This window comes from Homo sapiens, chromosome 1 (genome assembly GCF_000001405.40).
Source record: "Homo sapiens chromosome 1, GRCh38.p14 Primary Assembly".
Lineage (NCBI taxonomy): Eukaryota > Metazoa > Chordata > Mammalia > Primates > Hominidae > Homo > Homo sapiens.
The window spans coordinates 182545099-182568629 of record NC_000001.11 but is presented as its reverse complement, the minus strand read 5'-3'; the positions used below and the strand labels follow the sequence as shown (position 1 = coordinate 182568629).

General features: G+C 41.1%; 1 protein-coding gene across 14 annotated transcripts in view; it reads right to left on the bottom strand.

The window, feature by feature from the left end:
- Positions 1–8032: 8032 nt before the first annotated feature.
- Positions 8033–23531, bottom strand: part of RGSL1 (regulator of G protein signaling like 1) — a 112721-nt gene continuing 97222 nt past the window's right edge. For 11 of the 14 annotated variants that reach the window (XM_017001193.3, XM_017001191.1, XM_017001192.3 and 8 more), the window contains 7 exons: positions 20175–20313; positions 19806–19930; positions 17421–17530; positions 15089–15175; positions 13937–14003; positions 12408–12606; positions 8033–8351 (listed from right to left, as the gene is read on the bottom strand). In XM_017001193.3, coding sequence (XP_016856682.1) covers positions 12573–12606; positions 13937–14003; positions 15089–15175; positions 17421–17530; positions 19806–19930; positions 20175–20313 — 562 coding nt within the window. In that variant the 3' untranslated portion in view covers positions 8033–8351; positions 12408–12572. Of the gene's footprint in view, positions 8352–12407; positions 12607–12764; positions 12909–13936; positions 14004–15088; positions 15176–17420; positions 17531–18398; positions 18450–19805; positions 19931–20174; positions 20314–23531 lie in introns of those variants that run through there. The other 3 variants (XM_017001188.2, XM_011509494.3, XM_047419638.1) reach the window with 3 other exon arrangements.

Genomic DNA, 23531 nt, shown 5'->3' with positions numbered 1-23531 from the left:
ATTATTTGATAAATAATACAATGAAAGTATCATAAATACTCACACTCTTTTTACTGTAACAAGCTATTTTAATTTTTTGTATTTTATCTTGAACTCATTTACATGCATATGAGAGTTTCACATAATTGACACCCTAGTGTATTAGTTCATTCTGATGCTGCATTTTTACTTAGATAAAATTACTTATATTACAAATATAGCATCATATTGATTTATAGTAATTATTTAAATGAATATCTAATACTCTATCAGGTTAAAGTATCCAAGATTGTTTACACATTTTCCTTTGGCTGATTTATAGTTTGCTTCCATTTTTAATATGACTAATACTCCAAAGATCTATGTCACACATATAATTTATTCCTTAAAAAATATATATAGTTATTTTCTTCCTTCTAAATATTACTGTAAAAATGTATACATAATTATTACTTGAAATATGTGAAATACCTGGGTGGGTATGTTTAATTTTAGTTCATTGTGGGAAAGTTAATTTTAGAAAAGAAGAAAGAATAAAATAAATAGCACTTTGTAATCTTGACACAGAGTAATCAGTGTTAAACTTCTGATATAGATACATATTTTTTTGAGACGGAGTTTCACTCTGTCGCCCAGGCTGGAGTGCAGTGGCGCAAACTCGGCTCACTGCAACTTCCGCCTCCCGGGTTCAAGCAATTCTCCTGCCTCAGTCTCCCAACTTCTGGTATTTTTAATATGCATATACATTATATTATTATGTTCATAACAATATGGATTCACATATCTGCATACTATTAGTCATAACTTGAGTCATAGCATAATGCAGCTTTTGTATCTGCATTGACTTCCATTCTGGATATTTTCTCACATTATTAAATACTTGTCTGCAACATGCACCATGATTTATCTAACTGCATCCCTCTTACTGGACAGTTAGCATTTTTATTTACTGCAATTAACAACAGTAAAATTAATTTGAGATCAGCCTTTGCACACATCTCTGATTAATTCCTTAGAGTTAAATATTTAGAACTTGAATAACTGGTTTAAAAGTTTTCATATTTTTATGAGTTTGAAATATATTAGCATATTGTATTCTAGAAGGGCTGCATCAACTTACAATTTTCTTTTGTCTATATGAGAATGTCTGTTTTCCCTCACACTTAACAAGAGGCAGTCTCTTTATTTAAAAAACAAACGAACAAAAAATAGCTCTATCAGTTTCATAGGTAAGAAATTAACTCTCCTGCTTTATTTTGGATTTTTTTGACTACTTCTGAAGCCAAACATTTACACCCTCTATTGGTAGATAATGATTTGTGTGACTGCCCGTGTTCTTTCTCCATTACAAAAAATTTGAAGTGTTCATTTTTTGTCATTTTTAAAGAGCTCTTTATATATCGAAATTATTCACTTTGTCAAGTATCTTCTATGTAGTCCTCTTTTTAAATTGTACTTTTAATTTTGTTTATGAGAAACTTTGAAGAATAGAAACTTTAGATCATTAAGTAGTACAATACATTAGTATTTTTCTTTCAGCTTTTTGCCTTTGTGTTATGCTTAGAAAGTCATTCCCTTTCCAAGATTATTTGCCTTCACTTTGAATTTTTTAAATTTGTTCTACCTTTTCAATTTAACTGAAATGCTTTTGGCATGTGGCCTTGCATCATTTTAAATTGTATGTATGGGTGGAGGGTGGCCAAGAATTTCTATGAACATTTATTAATATTAGCTATGAAAAAGTGATTTGATATTAAAAAATGGGTTTTTATTCAACTGTTAGCAAATTAAGCTGTTATCCAAAGGAAGACTTACCTGTAATGCTAATTTTAGTCTTAAGAATCTATAAGTCTCAATTTTACTATGTTAAATGGGAAGACATCCTATGTTCATGGATTGAAAGACTTAGTACTGTTAAGATGACAATACACTCTAAGTTGAACTCCAGAGTCAATGCAATCTTGATCAAATCCAGCTGACATTTGTTTATTTACCTATTTACTTATTTAGCAGAAATTAAGCTGATCCTAAAATATGGAAATACAACAGCCCCAACTTAGCCAAAACAATCTGGAAAAAGAAAAAAACAGAACAAATTGGAGGACTCTCACTTCCTGATGTCAAAACCTATTACAAAGCCACAATAATTAAATAGTGTGGTACTGGCATAGGAACAGACATGTAGATTAATGAAATAAAACTGAGAGTTCAGATATAAACCTTTACGTTGGTCATAAGCTGATTCTTTGCCAGGAGTATGGAAGACAATTCTATGGGGGAAAGAATAGTCTTTTCCACAAATGGAGGTGGGATAACTGGATATACACATGCAAAAGAATGAAATCGATACCCCTCCTCACACCATACACAAAAATTAACTCAAAATGAATAATACACTTAAATATAGGAGCTAAAACTATAAAACCTTCAGAAGAAAACATAGGAGTAAATTTTTGTGGTTTTTGGTTAAGCAATGGTTTTTTAGATATAAGACCAAATGTACAACTTACAAAAGAAAAAATAAGAAAATTGACTATATCAAGGCTTGAAAGTTTATGCTGCAAATAACGCTAAGAAAGTGTAAAAACAACCTACAGAATGGGAGAAAATATTTGCAAATCACATATCTGATAAGAAACTTGTATCTAGAATATATAAAAAGCATTTACAACTTAAAAATGAAAAACTAAAAATAATCCAACTTAGAAATGGGCAAGGGATTTGAACAGACATTTGTCTAAAGAAGATGCACAAACAACCAGTATGCATACATAAAGACGTTCAACATCATTAGCCGTTAAGGAAATGCAAATGAAAACTACAATGAGGTTTCACATCGCACTCACTAGGATGGTTAAAATAAAAAAGACAGACAATGACAAGTTTTGGTAAGGTTGTGGAGAAATTGAAACACATACATTCCTGGTGGAAATGTGAAACTGTGCTTTGGAAATCATTCTGATAGTTTCTCAAAGTGTTAAACAGACTTACCATATGACTCATCAGTTCTACCCCTAGATAGACACACAAAGAAAATAAAAACATAAATCCTCACAAAAACTTATTCATGAATGTTTACAGCAGCACTATTCATAGTAGGCAGAAAGTGAAAAACAACTCAAATGTTCATAAACTGATAAATGGATGAATAAAGTGGTATATCCATATAATGGAGTATTATTCAGTGATAAGAAGGAATGAGTATTTGTTATGACTTGGATGAATCTTGAAAACATTGTGTTAAGTGAAAGAAGCCAGTTAACAAAAGACTAAATGTTGTGTGACTCCATTTATGTGAAATGTCTAGAAAAGGCAAACCTATAGAGACAGAAAGTAGTTTGGTGGTAGCACAGAGCTGGGGAGCATAGTGAGGAGAAATGGGGAGTGATGGCCAGTGGGTATGGGGTTTCATTTGGGGGCAACAAAAATGTTTTAGGATTAGATTGTATTGACTGTAAAAACCTGTGAATTCAGTTAAAAACTATAGCGTATACAACCTAAAGGAGTGAATTGTATGGTGAATTGTATCGTACTTCAAAAAAGTTGTTAAATTTTTTAAAAATATATTTTTTAATTTTAGAGACAAGATCTCCCTCTGTTGCCCAGGCTGGAGTGCAGTGGTGGGATCAAAGCTCATTGGAGCCTCAAAGTCCTGGGCTGAAGTGATCCTCCCACCTCAGCCTCTTGAGTAGCTATGACTACAGGTGAGTGCCCCGACACCCAGCTAAAAAATCTTTTAAAAGATGCAAATAATGTGAAATTGCTGACATATTTTAGATCATGGAGTACCTACCTGCTACAACATTCTTTCTTTTTCTTTTTTTAAATAAAGGTTGGGGAAAGATGATGTCATAGAAAAACCTTTAAATTTGACAGTCATGCTATAATAATCCAAGTAAAATGCCACAGAGATTGGGTTAAATTGAGAGACTATGTAGGTGTGAGAAAAATTTACAAACATATTTCTTTGGGAGAAAGATATCACTATGTTTATTTTTAAGAAGTTGGTAAAGCACATTTGCTGTCACGTTCCTGGAGATAATCCCAGAGTCACTGCAGACTAAAGAGATTGAGGCAAACTGGCACTGTTCTTGAAGCCACAGAAATGTTGAGTTATCATCAGGAAGACAACTAAAGAAAAGTCTAAAGCTGTCTATGTCACTAATTCCTAGCATAAACACACAGAAATCATTGAGAATGGCAGGGCCAGGAGCAGAACAACAAATGCCACATGGATAACACTTTTTTAAATAAGACCTACAGAACTGTAGCCAGTCCAGAGAAGGCTGACTGAACTGACCAAAGACAAAGTCCTCTGTGCCCATTCTGATTGCCTGTCTCTCGTTTTTCAGCAATAAAGCGTATGTGATACAAATCAGTAGTTCTGAATTCTGGCTGCAAGTTAGAATCACTTGGGCTCGACCCTAGACCAATTAAATCAGAACGTTGCGTGGGGCTTAGGCTCCAGCATTAAAAAATCTCGCAGGAACTTCCAGTTTCTCATCTGGTCTGTTAGGAGCTTAGAAGTCATCACTCCATCTTAACAACAAGTAAATAGTGAAGTTACTGACAGATTTGAAAACAGTTACATACACTGTAGGATAAGAAGACACACAAAGGTGTTGCTGTTTGCACAGTAGATTGTTTCTGCCAAATTTGTGGTCTTATATATGAATGCGTGCAGAATGGATTTATGAATACCCAAAGCAACATAGAAGCATGGCATAGAAGATGAGAAAATTTAATAGGAAGTACTCATGTCCATTTATATCAAATCATAGAAGAATTTCAAAATAAGTAGCGCCATATAGAAAATGAATGTGAACACATTCTCCAAGGAGAGACACACCCTAAAAGAAAAAAAAAACAGCTATTCAAGATGCAAGACTTCAAAATATCATGATCATAAAAGTCGGTCCACTCTTATGGACTACTTCCGAGCAATTGCCCATAATATGTAATATACCTTTATATATGTTGAATTTTTTTAGTTTTTATGTTTTGTTTTGTTTTGTTCCCCTACTATTTTAAATTGTCACCATTTTTTTGACAATTTGTTATGTATTCCATCTTTGCATCATTTCCAATACTGGGGGTATAAATTGCGTAAAGGCTTTTAGAGAGTTCTAATTTGTTTTATGCATTTTTTGCAAATTTGACTCCTTCGTTGACTTTGTCCATGTATGTAAAAACATTGAAACTTTCTCAGTAAATGAAGAGATGGTCCTTTTTGTACACCTGCTTTTATGACAGATAACATTTCTCAAGATCTCAGCTCTTTGGGCAACTGCGTATGTGGTAGCAGTGGCCTAGTGTGGTTTTTGACTGATCTTGTCAAAATACTTAGGTTGTGTGTCATAATATTTCAGATGACTGCAGTTATAAAGCTGGGTGCACACAATTACGAAGCATAGTGATATGAATTATATATTTTGTTTTTGACTTGCTTCCTTATGACTATGGTTTGTCTGCTCATACTGTTACGTTTGTGTGGCTGTCATTAGCATAGCTGAGTATTTACACTTACCAAAATGTTATCATTGTCTATTTTATCATGTCAAGTGGCTTATGAAGAGTTCTGCTGTGTTTTCATGTCTTCCAAATACATCCCCTTTTAAAATGTAAATAAATATTTTAAAAGAATTTTTAAAATTATTTTTTCCAGAATTGTGTTTTCAGGATTTTGAGCTTTCAGGCTTGTGATTTGTTGAATTTTAGACTTTAGGGATAGTGAAATCTTTCAGGATTTCAGCCTTCAAGATTATAGCGTTTGGGATTGTGTCTTTCATGATTATGGCCCAACCCCCTGGCAAAGAGGTCTGATTTCCCAATTCTGTCCTTGGGTGCAGCTACCAGGTGCCCTATCCTCAGAGCCCAGGGTTGGTCCTGGAGCCCCTGTGTAACTAGCTCTGGGTACTGCATTTTCCCTCACAACCTCCCTGGAGCCCCTGTGTAACTAGCTCTGGGTACTGCACTTTCCCTCACAACCTCCCTGCACTCTCCTCTGCCTTTGTAAGTTGTCCCTTTACCAAACCATCTCAGATTACCCTAATTAGAGAGTGCCATCTCTCTTCTGCTGGGACCTTTCCTATGTTCTCCTGGGGCCTCTATCCTTCCTCACTATCCATGGCACCACACCAGTCCCTGGTCCCTAGTTCGCAGCATATGAATGGGTTTAATTTCCAAATTTCTATGACAGATGGTAGCTGGAAGCAGAATCATCATATCTCACAGAAACAATACCATCATTGGCACTGAATTTGTCAGATGAGGCCATCAGTGCCCATTTAGACCAAGTGTAATTGATGTTTTACACCCAGCCATCCTCTCCCCTCCTGAAGGTGCCCAGAGGACTTGTGGTTCCCCTTCCCTCCCTGCTTTCTGTAGCCCTCTGGATTCTTCTTGCTCCTCCCTTCACCTGCAGGGACTCAGCACTCATAGCTCACTTTCACCCTCAGAAAGTCCAGGATGGGGCCTCAGGAGGCAGGACTGGAGAAGAGTAATTCCCCCACCAAAGCAGATGCTCCTCTCATCCCTGCTGGGACCCTGCCCCAACCCCAGTCCCAGCCCCAGTATTGTGTGTTCAAATTCCCAGGCCCATCCCATTTTGGTTGGAGGTGGGGAACAGGGGGTGTTGCTAGATCAAACATAGGCTGTTCAGTTAAATTTGAATTTTAAGTAAGCAACAGATAACTTTTTTAGTATCAGTTAAATATGTCCCATGCAATATTTGGGCATACTTAAGCTAAAAAAGTACTCATTGCTTATCTGAAATTCATATTTAACCCGGTGCCTGTATTTTTATCTGCTAAGTCTGGCAGTCCTACATCTCTTCAATCTTTTTTTTTTGTTCCACTGTTCTCATTTCCACCTACCCAAACCCATATTTCGGCACAAATACAATTCTTGAAAAAAAATGACTCATGTAGACTCTCTGATTTTCCTCTGACATTTAAGTAAATTGTTGAGTCTTTGTGTACAGAATCTCCACGGGACACCAGGAAGCGCCACATATTTTGAAGCCACTGACAAGATGTGTAGTGCTGGCATCTTCCTGCCTGCATTACTTTGCCTATAGAATGAGGCTTACAATTCCTAGCCCTGCTGTCACATAGTGAGTGTGCAATAAAGGCTCACTAATATTTTAAAAGTACGTATCTGTCAGGAACTCAGGGTGTGCATGTAGAGGGCATGGAAAGAAGTCTCATTACTCCCTATTAATAATAAACATATAACACACAGATATCTTCCAAAGGACTATGTATGTGTTAGGAATTAAACGGATCTTGTGGGGTTTTGTTGTTTTTTGTTTTGTTTTGTTTTGAGACAGGGTCTCACTCTGTCGCCCAGGCTGGAGGGCAGTGGTGCGATCTTGGTTCATGGCAGCTTCGACCTCCCAGGCTCAGGTGATTCTCCCACCTCAGCCTCCCATGTAGCTGGGACTTGTGATGCCCTTTTCATTCTGCCCCCAAGGACCATGTAACTTTTTGGAGGAAATACATTCAGAGTTTTCCCAGGAATAAATTATTCACTATACCACTCCTGACCAACCACTTCCTTCATGTCCTGGAAAGTTTAGGGAAAAGATAGAAGGAGGGAAAGCAACTAAAGTCCCCCACCCTCCATCTGTTCCTGGCCTTATGCTGTGCTCTTGGACTACATTATATGCAGTCAGTCCTCAAACAACCCTATGAGGTAGACATCATCAGCTGCATTTCACATATAGTGTTGGGAGTCAGCGAGGGTAAGTAATTTGCTGATGATCACAAAGTTGCTAGGAGCAGAGATGGGATTTAAACAAGACTGTCTCATGGAAAACCATGAGCTCTGACGGAGGGTGCAGGGCCTTCTGGTCTGGACTCTGTTTGCTGGGGGAGGGCCCACGTGTTAAAGTCACTGGGTGGGACTAGCTGGCTTGTGATCTTCATCTGGGAAAAGAAGTATTGTATCCACGAATCATTTGGATTGGAAATGACCTTGGGAGCCCTCTTGGGAGCAACTTATCATTTTCCCTGTGCTCTTTTACTTATGAAGAGGATGGCAGGCCCACAGATTGTGAATGTGGACATCCTTTATTCTGGCTAATGACCTGCAGCCCTGGAGGTGTATGGGTGAGGGCTGGCACCCTGAGGTCCTGCACATACGGGCCACCTCCTCCTCCGGATGACACTTGGATCAGTTGGAGGCTCTCAAAATGAGGGATAGATGTATTTTCATACGTGTGTATAAAGAGGGGAGACTTCATGTCACTCTCTGACATGTATCAGAAAGGCTTCTATATAGATGACAGCAGGTCTCAGTCACTCTTGCTGTTTCTGCTTTCCTCTGCTTCTTTCCATCACCCTTTAGTCTGAATGGGCTGTATGAGATTCCTAAAAAACAAAGAGTTCTTAAAGCATCAAGATTTATTGGAATACAGAAAAATTCATGAAGACAATAGCATTTGCTATTTCTTCTTTATGGTGGTCGTCACAACTGTAATTGATAGTTGAACTGATTTTCTGTTAATAGCACAGTCTGACTATAAGGTCAGTGAAAGCATGAACTTCACATTCTGTTTTCTCCACTGCGTTTCCAGCACCCAGCACAATTCATTTAGTCATGCATTCAATATGTATTTATGAGGCAACTATTATCTGCATGTCACTGTGCTAGGTAAGGTGAAAAATAGTTCTTGGTCTATTCTAGGTACAAATAAAAATAGGACTTGGTCTCTGCCCTACAAAAGCATGTAGTCTAGTAGGTGAGACACATACATGAATAAGTATCTCAAGGAGAGGAAAAAATGTGTCTCAGAAACTAAGAGGAGAGAGTAAGAGGAGAAAGGGGAATCAGGAGGTATCACAGTGTGATGTCTGTGTGATGGAGAAGAAAGGGAAGGGCCCTTTAGGCAATCACCAAGTTGCTGGAGAATGGTGTGTATGAGATAGAGAGAGGAAAAAGATAAACCTGGAAACCTGAACTGAGGCCATATTAGCAATGGCCTTGTATGTCCCACAAAGGAGTGAGACTTTTCCAACCAGGTGAAGGAGGGGAATAAAAGCTTTCACGCTGAGGAAATGAGCAGGTCAGATTTGTTCTCAGTGTGTGGGATGAAGCAGAGTGTGTTGGGTGTGTGTGGAGAGGGGAATGTGGTGACTTCACAGGGCCAGTGATGGGGACAAGGGCCCGACAAAAGCAGTGCCAGTGGGATAGAGAGGAAGGTCTGGATAGCAGCGACATGTCCAAGGCAGAGTGGCAGAACTTCCCTTTCCTGCATGTAAAATATGGGAGGGGAGGCAGAGGAATGAGTTGAGGATGATTCTGAGTTTTCTAGCTTGGAAGATGGGGTTGATTGGAGAAAAGAAATAAAGGGGCCAAAACTGATTTGGGATACATTAAATTTGTGCTGTGGATCCTGTTAGAATGGATTAAATTTGCAGTGGATCCTATTAGAGGAGAAGCTAGGGGCTAGGGATCTCAAGCAAATGGGAGAGTGCGTTGTAAGAAGGTAAGTTCAACAGGAGAGCCACAGGGAGCACTGATATTTAAGGAAGAAGCAGAAGAAATGTGAAGAAGAATCAGAAAGAATAGTCAGAGCTATGACAAGAGAAAGAAAAAAATGGTGTTCCCAAGTCTCTAGGAGGCAATAATCGCATCAGAGGCCCAGATTGTGCGTTCATACATTCTTCTCTAAGGAAGGTGGTCTAGGACCATGGTCGGTAGAATTTCTGGTGACCACCCTAGGATATCCATGCTCTAAACTCTAGAATCTGTGAATGTGTGACCTTACATAGCAAAAGGAATTTGGTGGGTGGAATTAAGGCTAAGGACCTTAAAACAGAGACATTATTCTGGATTGTCTGGGTGGGCCCTTAAAAGGGAGTTGGGAGGCAGAAGAGGGAACCAGAGAGATGTGATGATAGAAGAAGAGGCAGGAGAAATTCAAAGAACGGGCAGGACTTGACCCACCATTGCTGGATTTAAAGACAGAGGAAGAAGGCCATGAGCCAAGGAATGCAGGTGGCTTCTCAGAAACTGGGAACGGCTCTCAGCTGACAGCCAGGAAGGAAGTGAGACCTCCATCCTGTACCTACAATGACTGAATTCTGCCAATAACCTGAATGAACCAGGAAACAGATCCTCCCCAACAGCCTCCAGAGGGGAACACAGCCTTCCTGACACCCTGATGTTAGCTTGAGTCCCAGGTCAGACTTCTGACCTACAGACTTGTAAAATAATAATTTGTGTTGTTTTAAGCCACTAAGTTTCTGGTAACTTGTTATGGTAGCAAAAGGAAACTAACACAGGAACTGAAGTAGGCCAGGTTCCTTACCTGGTCCCTCTTTCTTGGCCTTTTCCTTAGACGGCAGTGGCCCCTGGATCTAGTGTTGGGACGCCTTTTCCTCCCCTCCCATATTTTTTATTCAAACTAGACCCAAGACCCAAATCTAATTTCAAGGGCAAAGAAAAATATTAAAGCAAGGAATGCAATTTGTTGGGCTGTGGGTCAGTCTTGTCCCTAACTAAGTTTTGTTTTAACTGTAATGTTACAGACATTTTTAATTTCTCACTTTTTTCCTTCCTTCCCTCCTTCCTTCCTTCCTTCCTTCCTTCTTTTTATTCCTAAGTAGAAGCTCTGGCAACACCAGGTTGGCTGGCTTGAGCGGACTGTCTCTGACCCCTTTGGGACACGTTCTCCAGTTCACCACAGTCTCTACCACTCCTTCTTATCTCTCATGGACTGCGTTACTCATTTATACACCCTGCCTGTATTCTACAGGTGACTGACTTAGTGACACTAGACTAACTGGCATTAGAACATGTTAGATCTGGGATCTTTGAAGGGAGCATGTAAGAAACCGAAAGAAGCAATCAACAAAACTTAACAAAAGAGAAGATTTTTTTTTCCAACTCAGGGAAGACCTAATAAGTATCATTAATCCTTTTAAATAACATGTTTGTGTGTTTGCATACCTACACATGAGTATAACCATGGTGAATGTGGAGAGAAAGATAATTAAGAAATAGGAAGATGGGGCAAAGATCTAAGTTCAAATAGATCAGGAAAAGTACCTTTCTTTTCCTTAAGTGTGGCCCATCTATTGCCAACATGCAGGTTCACCCATGTCCCACTCCAATGTGAGTGTATTTCAGTATGTGACCACGAGTTAGTATTTTGCTAGATCCTTGTCAGTCACCTTGTTGCTGGCCTAACATCCTCTCTAGTTTCATGCCTGGGGCTTGTGACTTGTTCTTTTTTGATGAAATGCTTCCCTGTTACCTCAATTCCACTAACTGAGCTCTTCTTTATTCCTTACCTGGGGTCTTGCCTTAGTTTTTGCCTGATTTTTAGGAACTGGGATTCTGTTTCATGCCCACTCTTCATTCTATTAATTGCAGTCCTGTTCTAAAGCTCTAGCCCTGATAGGGAAGGGAAGACTCATGCCCTTTTGTCTAGGCCTTCCTGTCTTGCTGGGCCTTCTCCCAGGGGCCCAAGGGGCTCTCCACACCTGGCCTTTTTTCAGCCTCCTCTAGAGTCATGTCTGCCCACAGTCTTCCTGGATCTCCTGCAATCACAGCCCCACCAGGTGACCTCAGAGTCTCAGGTGTTCATGAGTTCTGCTCCAACATCACCTTTTTCATCCTTGTGAAAAGTCTGGGAAATAAAAAACTTCGGCACAGCAGGAAGCTTTGGCCAGAAATTTGAAAGTATTCTCCAAAAAGCTTTCCAGTCCTTTCCTATTCTGTAACCCACAGAGATGACAAGCCAACCTGTCCTCAGTTACCTCAGGTGGAGGGCTTGTTCAGGAAATTCTGACTCATTTTACTTCTGATTTTTTTTTTCTCAAAGGAGAGAAAATAGGCCTATTCATTTAAAATTATGACAATAGTTTAGGGCTTTAGGTCAAAAACCTTAAAGTTTTTTTATCCACTAGTTGGCAAATGAACAGAACTCTCGGGAAGAACTATTCCTTTTGTGCATGAAAAGTTACATAAAAGGTTGGCATAGAACAAGAACAGGACAAAAAATCAGAAATGGTGTGTTCTAGTCCAGATGCTGCCATTTACTGCCCAGTAATCTTAGGAGAGTCACTTACCTTCTCTGTGAGTCAGATTCTTTAACTGTTTAAAAATAAATGAATTCTGACATGGTTGCCCACAGGGTTGTTGTGAGGACTTACTGAGACAATGGGTGTGAGTCATTGTCTAAATGAGAGATCCTACCATTAAAAGACACCATCTGTCCTTGCTGATAATTATAGCACCTTGCTCCTGATTGCCTTCAGTGATCTTTACATCCATTTGTCATGGGATTCTTTAACAACCTGAGCCAGGATTTGCACACAGCCAGGAAGATGTGGAGCAAGACCTAGAGCCCAGGTCTCCTGACCCAACTCACTGTAGTGGAAAGATGCGCTTCCTCTCATGCTCTGCCCAAGTCTTACCCATTGCAGTCTGGTCCTGCCATATCTGGGCTGTCAACCCATTGCCCTTCTTGATCGTTTCTGGGGAAGATGGTACCAGGACCTTTCATTTTTGACCAGAAAAGTTTCTGTCAGTGTTAGGAGGCCTCTAAGAGATGATTTATCTCTGCTGGGGGTCTCGCTTGATTACTTCTCTTTTTTGATGTAGGATAATTTTTGTCTGAAGGGAGAGAAAACAGCCAGTTATCACAATTATGATGCAGTAATTGAGGTTGCATTCTCTGTTGGTTTGTCACTGTCATTTCCTTTAGGAATGGCAATAGCCAAAACTGAAACCTTCAGGCTTCAGAATAGGGCTTCTCACATTCTTAGTCTCACCTTCTTCCCCAAGGCCTTATAAACTCTGAAGCCATGCATTGCTTTTCCAGTGTAAAGAGCTTCAAAGTATCTGGTTTGTCTTCTGGGCACTGGGACGGGCAAATAATTCCTGGGCAGCTTCAAGTCCCTGTTGGAAGGACAAGTCTGGAAACAGGCCTGAGAAGTGACTTGGCTGGCAAGGACACCAAGCCTGTCATTCAGAGGCTGCTGTCTACCACCTTGGCCTTCAAATAACTCTTTGGCACTCCTCAGCTATGGTTTTCATGACCCCTGGGGATTCTCCCAGAGCCCTAACTTAGCATCAGTTTCACTTGGAAGCTTGTGCAGAAGTGAGTTAGGCTGAAGCAGATTTTAACAGACTCAAGTCCCTTCTGTTCTTATTGCCAATATCCTGCCAAGCAGAAGAACAGATCTTCTTTCTTTCCCACCTTATGCACCCTGCCCTGAGCAGCCTGGAATATTTAGGAAGCTGGCAATAAAAGATCATCTGAATAAAGAGAATGTAGGATACATATACACAATGTAATACTAAACAGTCATAAAAAGATAAAATCATGTCTTTTGCAGCAACATGGATGGAACTGGAGACCATTATCTTAAGTGAAATAACTCAGAAATGGAAAGTGAAGTATTGCATGTTCTCAGTTACACGTGAGAGCTAAATAATATGTACACCTGGACATTGACCGCGAAATAATAGACACTGGAGACTTGGAAGAGTGCGAGAGTGGGAGGTGGGTAAGGGTGAGAAATTACCTAATGGGCACAATGTATACTATTTGGATCATGACTACACTAAAACCCTAGACTTCACTACCTCCCAATATATCCATGTAACAAAACTGCACTTGTACTCCTTAAATCTATAAAAATGAAAAATAAAAATCAAAGATCATCTGGGACACTTCCACAGCAGTATTGTTCTACTGAAAAGTGGGTCAGAGACTCCAACTTCTTAAAAGTGCCTGTCCTAGTTGGAGGTGAGAAAGGACCCCCACAGAGAAACACCTCTTTAACTTCCCACCAGAGGCAGCAAGCTCAGTTTCTAGGTTCTGCATGCCAAGGAGAGGCAGGGTATGAGGCTAGTCTCTGGAAAGTTTATACCATCTCCTATTGCATGCTTGGACATAGCAGCTCTGGACTGAAGAAGAGGATTTCCAGCTCATGCCTACCCCTGGACGGGATGCAGCTGCATGGCAGATACCACGAGTCTTGGCTGAGTAAGTTTGCTTGATGAAGCTAAAGAGAAATACAGAGAAAAATTGCATCAGGACTCATGACATAGACGCAGTCACTGAAAGGCCTCCACCCTGGAGGACCATGCTGGGTGGGCTTCCACGGACACCTCCAATGTAGGGGTTGGAAAGTGAAGGTAAAGCAGGCCTGTTCCAGGGATATTCAGGAGACCTTGTTTCTATGCTGCAATTTGTGTGTTTGTGTGTGTCCCAGGAAACCTTTCATCTGGACACGAAGGCCATGATGTCAATCACATAGACTTAGGGAAGTAAAATAGGAGATCAGGGCAGATGAACACTAGAATCACAAGACTTTAGGGCTGTTTGGAGCCTATGGATCACAGGCAATGTTCCATAGTGGCCTCCCCCATGAAGCAATGAGGAAACACGTACAAATGGGCAGGTCAGGTATGCTGGCATTTCATGCCTGTGAGAAGCAGAAAAGCAGTATTTCCAATTTCTTCCCCTAATAGAAGCTGGCAGTTGGGATAGAAAGGGAAGGTTTGTTAGGAGAGACTATGTGGAAACAAAGGCAGGGTTAGAGTGTGGGAGTGGGGTTGACTCCTTGAGACTGAAGATGGGGAAGAAAAAGAATATAATATGGCCTCAGTATGCGAGGTTAGAACTGCAGGTTTTGTGACAGGGAAGAGATTCATAGCAGGAGCCTCCAGGAAGCAGGAGGTATGAAATGGTGTGTTCAAATCAGCAGTTGGTCTCAGTGTGAGGGGGAAGTAACAATTAGGACACTGTGATAGTCTCTTAATAAACATCATACGTCATGCCTGGAAATGAGAAGAGGAGTCAGCAGAGATATAGAGAAGCTTAAGGTACCTGCCTTCCCGGGGTTACAAAAACCAAGAAGACAGGATTATTTAGATGAGAGTTGCTCACAGAGCCATGGAAGGAGGTCAGGAGACTAAATTTTCACCTCCTCTCTGCCACTCACAAGCTATGTGATCTTCAGCAAGTTACTTCACATTTTGGGGGTCTCAGTCTCCTTATTGTCAATAAGGGGATTGGCCAAGCTGGTTTTAAAGTCCCCCTCTGATTGAGTAGCAAACTATCAGTGGGGATCCAATTCCAACTCACAATTTTGAACTGAACTTATTGCTTCCCGTTGAGGCTGCAACCACTCAATACCTCTGAGCAAGGTGAACCTTAAGATGGCATTGTCTCCTGGGGAAGGACAAAAACAAGCATTAAAAACACCTGCGACAACTCCTACTGAAATAAATCTCTCTAAGTAAGCAATAAAGCTCTTGTTTAACACACTTAGATTACAAAATGTTAATGATAAAACATTATCTAAATCTAAATCTTTGCATGTGAGATGCTATGGTTTGAATGTTGCCTCCAAAACTCATGTTGAAATTTAATTGCCACAGAGATGGTATTAAGAGGCAAGACCTTTAAAAGGTGATGAGGCTAGCCAGGCACAGTGGCTCATGCCTGTAATCCCAGCAGTTTAGGAGGTCGAGGCAAGTGGATCACCTGAGGTCAGGAGTTTGAGACCAGCCTGACCAACGTGGCAAAACCTCATCTCTATTAAAAATATAAAATTAGCTGGGCATGGTGGTGTTCACCTGTAATTCCAGCTACTTGAGAGGCTGAGGCAGGAGAATTGCTTGAACCCAGGAGGCGGAGGGTGTGGTGAGCCAAGATCATGCCATTGCACTCCATTGCCAGCCTGGGCAGCAAGAGCAAAACTCCATCTTGAAAAAAAGGAAAGGTGATGAAGCTATGAGGGGTCTGCCCTCATGAATGGATTGTTGCCATTATCATGGGAGTGGGTTTGTTATAAAGGTGAGTTCAGCTGTCTCTTATTCTCTCTCACACTCTCTTGCCCTTCTGCCTTCCACCATGGGGTGATGCAGCGTAAAGCCCTTTGCCAGATGTTAGTGTCATGCTCTTGGACTTCCCCGTCCCCTGAATCATGAGCCAAATACATTCCTTTCTTTATGAATTACCCAATATGAGGTATTTTGTTTTAGTAACACAAAATGGGCTGAGACATGAGATCAGGGATGTGAGGCTGAGAGAGGGGAGCACCATGCTCAAGGTCTCACAGCTTGTATATTATGACTCTCTGATGCTGTTCCCAGATTCACAGACCTGTTTTCTTTGGTTTTCAGAACTTTCCCCTGAAAGACACCCAGCCTTGTCCTCACCAGCCACTGCTCTGTTCACCAACCTCTTCCTTGTTAAAATTCCCTTTTGCACAGGGTGCGGTGGCTTACACCTGTAATCCCAGCACTTTGGGACACTGAGGGGGGTGGATCACAAGGTCAGGAGATCGAGACCATCCTGGCTAACATGGTGAAACCCCCGTCTCTACTAAAAATACGAAAAATTAGCTGGGCGCAGTGGCAGGTGCCTGTAGTCCCAGCTACCCGGGAGGCTGAGGCAGGAGAATGGCGTGAACCCAGGAGGTGGAGCTTGCAGTGAGCCGAGATTGCGCCCCTGCACTCCAGCCTGGGCCACAGAGCGAGACTGCCTCTCAAAAAAAAAAAAAATTCCCTTTTGCTCAAGTACCAATCACAGCTGTATGACAGAGATACATTCTGAGAAATGTGTCATTACGTGATTTTGTGGTTGTGTGAATATCATAGAATGTACTTACACAAACCAAATGGCAGAGCCCACTACACACTCAGGCTTTATGGAAGAACCTATTGCTTCTAGGCTACAAACCTATACAGCATGCTACTGTACTGAATGCTGTTGCAATTGTGACACCATGGTATCTGTGCATCTAAACATATCTAAACATAGAAAAAGCACAGTAAAAATACAGTGTTATAATTGTATGAGACTACCATTGTATATATGGTTTATTATTGACTGAAACATCATTATGTGGTGCATGGCTGTATGTGTGTGTATATATATATATGTATGCATATTTACTTATTTTTTACGAATTTTTACATAAGTAAATATGTGTATGCTTTTATATATCTGTTTTACATATATATGTCTGCTTTCATAAAAATTATATATGTATAAAACACATTTATCACATTAAAACTATATATATGCAGTTTTTAATGTTGTCACTTAACGCTATAAAATAAATGCTTTCTTAATGGGAGGGTTTAATGGAGATAGAGCAGGGGGCTTCTTAAGCAGCAGAAAAGCAGATCATCCTCTCCATGTACCCTCAGCATAGACTGTGACCGGCATGCACAGAGGCGTCCTGGAGTTATTGCTAGGGAGAGGTACCCTCTGCTAGCACTGCTAGTGACAGGTAATTCATGCTTTACCCTGAGTGCTCTGTCTCCCTGAGGGCCAAGTAAATGAGCTGTCCCGGCTCCAGCAAACACCCTCAAGGAAGTCTTGAATTTGGCCCCTTGGGCCCTTGCTTTCTCTTCACAAGTCTTGGTTGCTGGAGAATGGGGCTGTGAGTCGTGGTGGAGCTTACCTCCACTCGAGAAAGGATACTTGTCCGTAGATTTAGGAGGGCTTTTTCTGTCCTTGAACTTCTTCCCCCTATACTGTAAGTAAGAGCGGGTTGCCTTCCAGAAACAAAACCTGTGGGAAGAATGGCTTCTGGTCATAGGAGGGAACCCCCAGTGGAGGGGGCTGGAGCACCGAGCACAGGGGAAACAGGGCCGGGCCAGTCCTCAGAGAATGTGGGTGTCCAACAGAGAAGAGGAAAGCATCCTGGCCTTGGGGTTCTACCTGCCAGTGGCCTTTGTTCTGAGGCCTCCTCTTTGTCCAGACCTGGCTCCAGCGCGGGCCTGGCATGGGCAGTTTGTTGGGGCTTCTTTCTGGAACCATCAGTGAATGGAGCCTGTAAAGGGCCTACTATCCTGAGGCCTGGGGTGAGGTTAACCCCTGGGGTGCACCCCAGCATCAGACTCTGACATCCCTATCTAACCCCACCTGGTATGGCCAGAGTGTCTGAAGGGCTTTTGCTCAGGTCCTAATCCTAGTTTCCACCCTGCCACTTACTGACAGCCTTGACCACCTCACTCTATTCCCAGCGGGCCCTTCCCTGGAATAGACCTGGTTTCTCTTGTGAACTCAGATTTATGTACTCTTTATGACCTTTATGTTCTCTAGAAGCCTGTGCAATATTCCCCATCATCTCTTCCTTCCTGGCCCCAAGCCCCTTGTTATCCCTACCTTCAACCAGTCCTTGGATTGGATCCCTTGGAGGTCAATCTTGGCTAAGACTGAATTTATTTTCTATGGCACTTTGGATCTGGTGGTTTTGCCTGCTGCCCTCCTCCCCTCTCCTTGAGGGACAGTCTGTTCTATCTCAATAGGCTTTTCCCATTTCACTTGCTGAACTGGGTCTCCTTCCCCAGTGGACCTCCCAGTATGCCGCACATGCATTATTTATGGTGATGAGAGACCAAGAGACCTGGTTTCTAATGCTGGTTTTACCACTTACCAAGTGATTCTAGGCAAGTCCCTCAACCACTCTGAACCTCAGTCTCCTCATCTGTAAAACAGGGATAATAATACTCCTCCCCACCCACTGTGTAGGGTTGTGGAGAGGTTCGTTTAAGATAATATATGTAAACACAGTTTGCATAACATAAATTTCTTTGTAAGTATGTAGGAAAGTAAGTAAAGAAACTGCAGGAGGAACAGGAATCCAAAGAATCCCTAAAGCATGTCTCATTTTTCTAAGCACATGGGAGACAGCTAAACACTGGCTCATTCAAGAGAAGCATATATTTCCCAGAGGTTCCCAATCCCTCCAAAAGTCTCTGGGTGAATATCTACTTAGTCCTTGCTAGGAGAACTAGAGTTAAGTTCTAGACAACATTTGATGTTCAAAAGGTTAAATTGCTTGTCTTGAACTTAGATTTTTGTACTTCTCTTGGTTCTGTATTAAATAGTTTATTATCTCAAGGATTTTAAAATAAAGGTGAGAGATTGGTAAGCAATTTCACACTTCTATTTTAATAAAGTAACTTTTTTTTTTGGTGGAAGATGGGAACTTCTAAGAGTCCAAGTCACATGATAATCTAAGTGTCCTGATTAGCTTTGTCTGGGAACATTTCAGCCAGGTGTCCTCTGGTCACTACCACCCAAGGCACTGCCATTCACCATGTGGAAGATATGAGCTGGAACTCTGGCAGACCACAGGAATAAATAACCAGCTGGGAAGGCTCAGGCCAAATCTCCACAGGACAGGTTAGAAACAAGTGGGCCACAGATTGCATTTGGCCACAAAATATCTGCATATATTTTGCTTGTTTCATTTTTGGTTTTTGGCCTTCACAGTTTCTTCACCATGTTTTAGTTTTGTTAGTTGCCATATTTGCCACTTTAACCTTGGGAGAGATGAAATACACATTTCAATGTCTAGCTCCTCTTGATAATTGGAGTATCTAGCAACTGTGCTCCCTCAGTGGTAATTCTGGGGATTTGGGCATAACAGAGCAAAACACTTCTGGCTTACTTTCTTCATGTAGCTTCTTAAGCACAAGCAGTTGTGTTAGTCTTGACAGAATTTCTCCCCAAGGGGCTGTGGTTCACTCTTACCTTCTTGTGAGAAACCCAGGCCTAAGAAAACCTCACATTCTTGCTCCAAGCAAGCATAGAAAGAGGAGGGGTGGGAAACCAGGCGTTTGGCTCTCAGTCTTACTCTGCCTTCCATCTGTGGATTCAGTGTTTGGTGTTCTGTGTGAGGGATGGAGTGAGGTGAATAGGATTTTGAAAACACCATCTTAGTTCCCCCTAGAAACTGGAAACTACGAAACAGAGTGCTAGAGGAAGGCAGAAAACTCTCTCCAAACTAAGTGTGTTTTCCTGACCTAACAGTCACTGAATAAGGAGAAACAGTTACCTTTTCCAGAAGTACATAACAACGGGGAAGACAGACATGATAGCCCCATGGAAGACGCTCCGATCTAGGTAGCCCTCTGTGATGGCAGCAAGGATGGCATCCTTCTGGAACTCAGGGACATTCACCTACCCACAGAGTGGGAGCCTGTCACTGGCAGAGGCTCCACGGGAAGGCAGAAAACCTCTCCTGGCCCCCAGAACCCCATGACCACCCCCTCTCCAAAAGGCATACGGTTTTCATGGAGTTGCTAGGTAAAGGATATGTAGTTAGCCAGGACTTATGAGGTGCCTGACAATTAGCTTTCTAATTGTCCTTGTGGGGGAAATGCTTCTTGGTGAAAGGCCAGAGTGGAGTGGGAGTCTTTCTTACCCTCAGCTTTGGAGGGATGTCAGAATTCAGGAAGAGTTTTTGGATAATGTTCATTTTGGACCGCATTAGGATCACATCATTCTCATTATATGCCCGGTTGACCTGCAGCATGTGGGCTGAACTGACCAGATCATTAAATCTAAAAAAGAAATGTGAAGTAGGAAATCAGGAGGAGAAGATGAAAACAGTGACTAACAAGGCACCCAGCCTAGACTCATTTCTGGCCCAAAAAACGCAAGGCCAGTTCTAGGCCAGGTTGTGACTTTATTCATTCAGTCATAATTCATCCATTGGCAAATACTGAGCACTTATCACAGGTCAGATAACATGTTAAGTGCCCCTTCAAGTGAATGTCTTCACCACAAACCCCCTTGTTTATCCCACCTTCCCTCCTTTACCCATTCTGGCCCTACAGCATTGCACCTCTAATGACTTCAAGGCCTAAGGACTATCTTGCTCTTCCCTCTCCTGTGCTGACCTGAGGCAAGCCCTGAGATGCAGGCAGGTCCCACTCCTGTAGAGCACTTTAGGCAATGAGAGGAGGTTTGGACTTAATTCCAGTGGTAATGGGAAGCCAGTAGAACATTTTTTTTTTGAGATGGAGTCTCACTCTGTATCCCAGGCTGGAGTGCAGTGGTGTGATCTCGGCTCACTGCAAGCTTGGCCTCCCGGGTTCATGCCATTCTCCTGCCTCAGCCTCCTGAGTAGCTGGGACTACAGGCGTCTGCCACCACACCTGGCTAATTTTTTGTATTTTTAGTAGAGACGGGATTTCACCATGTTACCCAGGATGGTCTCGATCTCTTGACCTCGTGATCCACCCACCTCGGCCTCCCAAAGTGCTGGGACTACAGGCATGAGCCACCGCACCCTGCTGCCAGTGGAACATTTTAGGCAGGAGAATAATCTAGTCTGGTTTATGTTTTTAATAGGCTACGCTGGTTGCTATACAGAGAATAGTTTGTAGAGGTCAAGCAAGGAAGAAGACGCAATGTGGTGGGAATCGGAGCAGCAGCAGGTGAGGCTATTCACTCTGACTAGTATCTCCCTCTGCTCCTCCATTACCTCCCCCACATCCTTTATTATCTGACTAACCTCTACTCTTCCTTCAAAATTTAGCTTAGATTACCCAAGAATTTTGGGTCTCCCAAGAAACCATACCTGAGGACTTACTGTTGTCTAAATACACTTCCTATGCCTGATTCTCCCATAGCACCTATCATCCTGAGACACTTCCTAACTTTTGTTTGTGTCTTTTCTGCCATCCTCATTAGTTTGTGGGATCTTAGAAATAGAGAGCACGTCATAGTTGTTTTTTGTATATCCAATGTCAAAACCGGTGTTCAGTAAAGAGTGAGCAATCAACAAGCATCTGTGGAAATGAGCTAAATCCATCACTGGGGTGAGTAGAAGATCTCTTAACCAAACTCTTCTAACTGATGCATGAATTATCAGGTGTCTACATTTTTGAAAAACACACTGACTGATGCCCATGACATGCTGACTGCATAGATTAGTGGTACACCTTTAGTACATTCTCATCTTTCTCAAACTAGCAGAAGTGAATGTGTACCAGGAGGTGTGTTGCTTCCCAAGTATCTTTCCCTATTGTAAAGATAATTAGTAACTATAATTGCTATAATTAGTAACTTGTGAAAACTGATAAAATATGAACATTAAAGAAAAGTTATTATTTCTATGAAAACAAGTTAGAATGTTTTGGAAATTCTAATGAAGGCAAGTAGCTTTTTAAAAAAGTGTTGTTGGCTGGGTGCAGTGGCTCACACCTGTAATTCCAGGACTTTGAGAGGCTGAGGCAGGCGATCATGATGTCAGGAGATCGAGACCATCCTGGCCAACATGGTGAAACCACATCCCTACTAAAAATACAAAAATTAGCTGGGCGTGGTGGCATGTGCCTGTAGTCCCAGCTACTTGGGAGGCTGAGGCAAGAGAATCGCTTGAACCCAGGAGGTGGAGGTTTAAGTGAGCCAAGATGGTGCCACACTCCAGCCTGGCGACAGAGTGAGACTCCGTCTCATGAAAACAAAAACAAAATACTGTTGAGTTAGGTGTGGCCAGGCAGTTTAAAACATAAAAAAAAAAAAGGTATACAAAGCCAGAAGGATTAAATTGCTTCACAGTAATCTTTAAATTCTGTTCCACTTTAAAGAAATAAAAATTGAAATCAGTAGACAGACACTTTAGGTTCCAAAATGTTAGCATAGAAGCAAGTTGGCTTCATTCTCCCATATGGAAACTCAAAACAAACAAATAGTACTGAGATTTTTACCAGCACTATCTCAGAACTCAAATATAATGAGACAGAGGAGAAAAAAGTAAAAAGAATGAAAAGTAATGAAGACACCTACAAGATATAGAAAATTACTTCAAAAGAGCAAATCTAAAAATTATTGGTGTTCAAGAGGGAGTTGAGCAAGAGCAAGGAAAAGAAAACTTATTCAAAATAATAACAGAAAACATTCTAAAACTTGACAAAGACATACATGTTTAGGTACAGGAAGGCCAGAGAACATTAAATAAATTTGACCCAAATAAGACTACCCCAAGTATTATAGTAATCAACTCTTAAAGGTCGAGGACAGAGAGAGAATCCTAAAAGCAGAAAAAGAAGAAAATAACATATAAAGAAGCTCCAATTCACCTGGCAACAGACTTCTCAATGGAAACCATAAAGGCCAGGAAAATTTGAGAAAAAATTCTCAAAGTGCAAAAAAACCAAACCAAAACAAAACAAAAAACCCACCATCCAAGAGTACTGTATCTAGCAAAGCTATCCTTCAACTGTGAAGGAGAGAGAGCCTTTCCTAGACAAACAAAAGCTGAGAGAATTCATGACCAACAGACATGTCTTACAAGAAATGCTAAAGAGAGTTCTTTATTCTGAAAGAAAATGACACTAACACGCAAGAAGGAAGCCTTTGAAGGTATAAAACTCATTGGTAAAAGTGAGTGCACAGACCAATCTAGAATATTCTAATATAGTAATTGTGGTGTGCAATTCACTCATAACTCTAGTATGAAGCCTAAAAGACAAATTTGTCAGAAGGAACAATAGCTAAAGCAATCTGATAAGAGATAAGCAATATAAAATATGCAAATTGAGAAAAAATGTCCAAATATTGAGAGGATGGAAAGTGTAGAGATTCATTTTAGTTTTTTCTTTGTTTCTATTCTTTTCTTTGTGATGTAAGATAAGCTGCCATCTCTTTAAAATAATTTGTTATATCCACAAAATATTTTGGTAAGCCTCATAGTAAACACAATGCAGAAACCTATAATAGTTACACTAAAAATAAAAAGCAATGAATTAAAATACAGTACCAGAGAAAATTA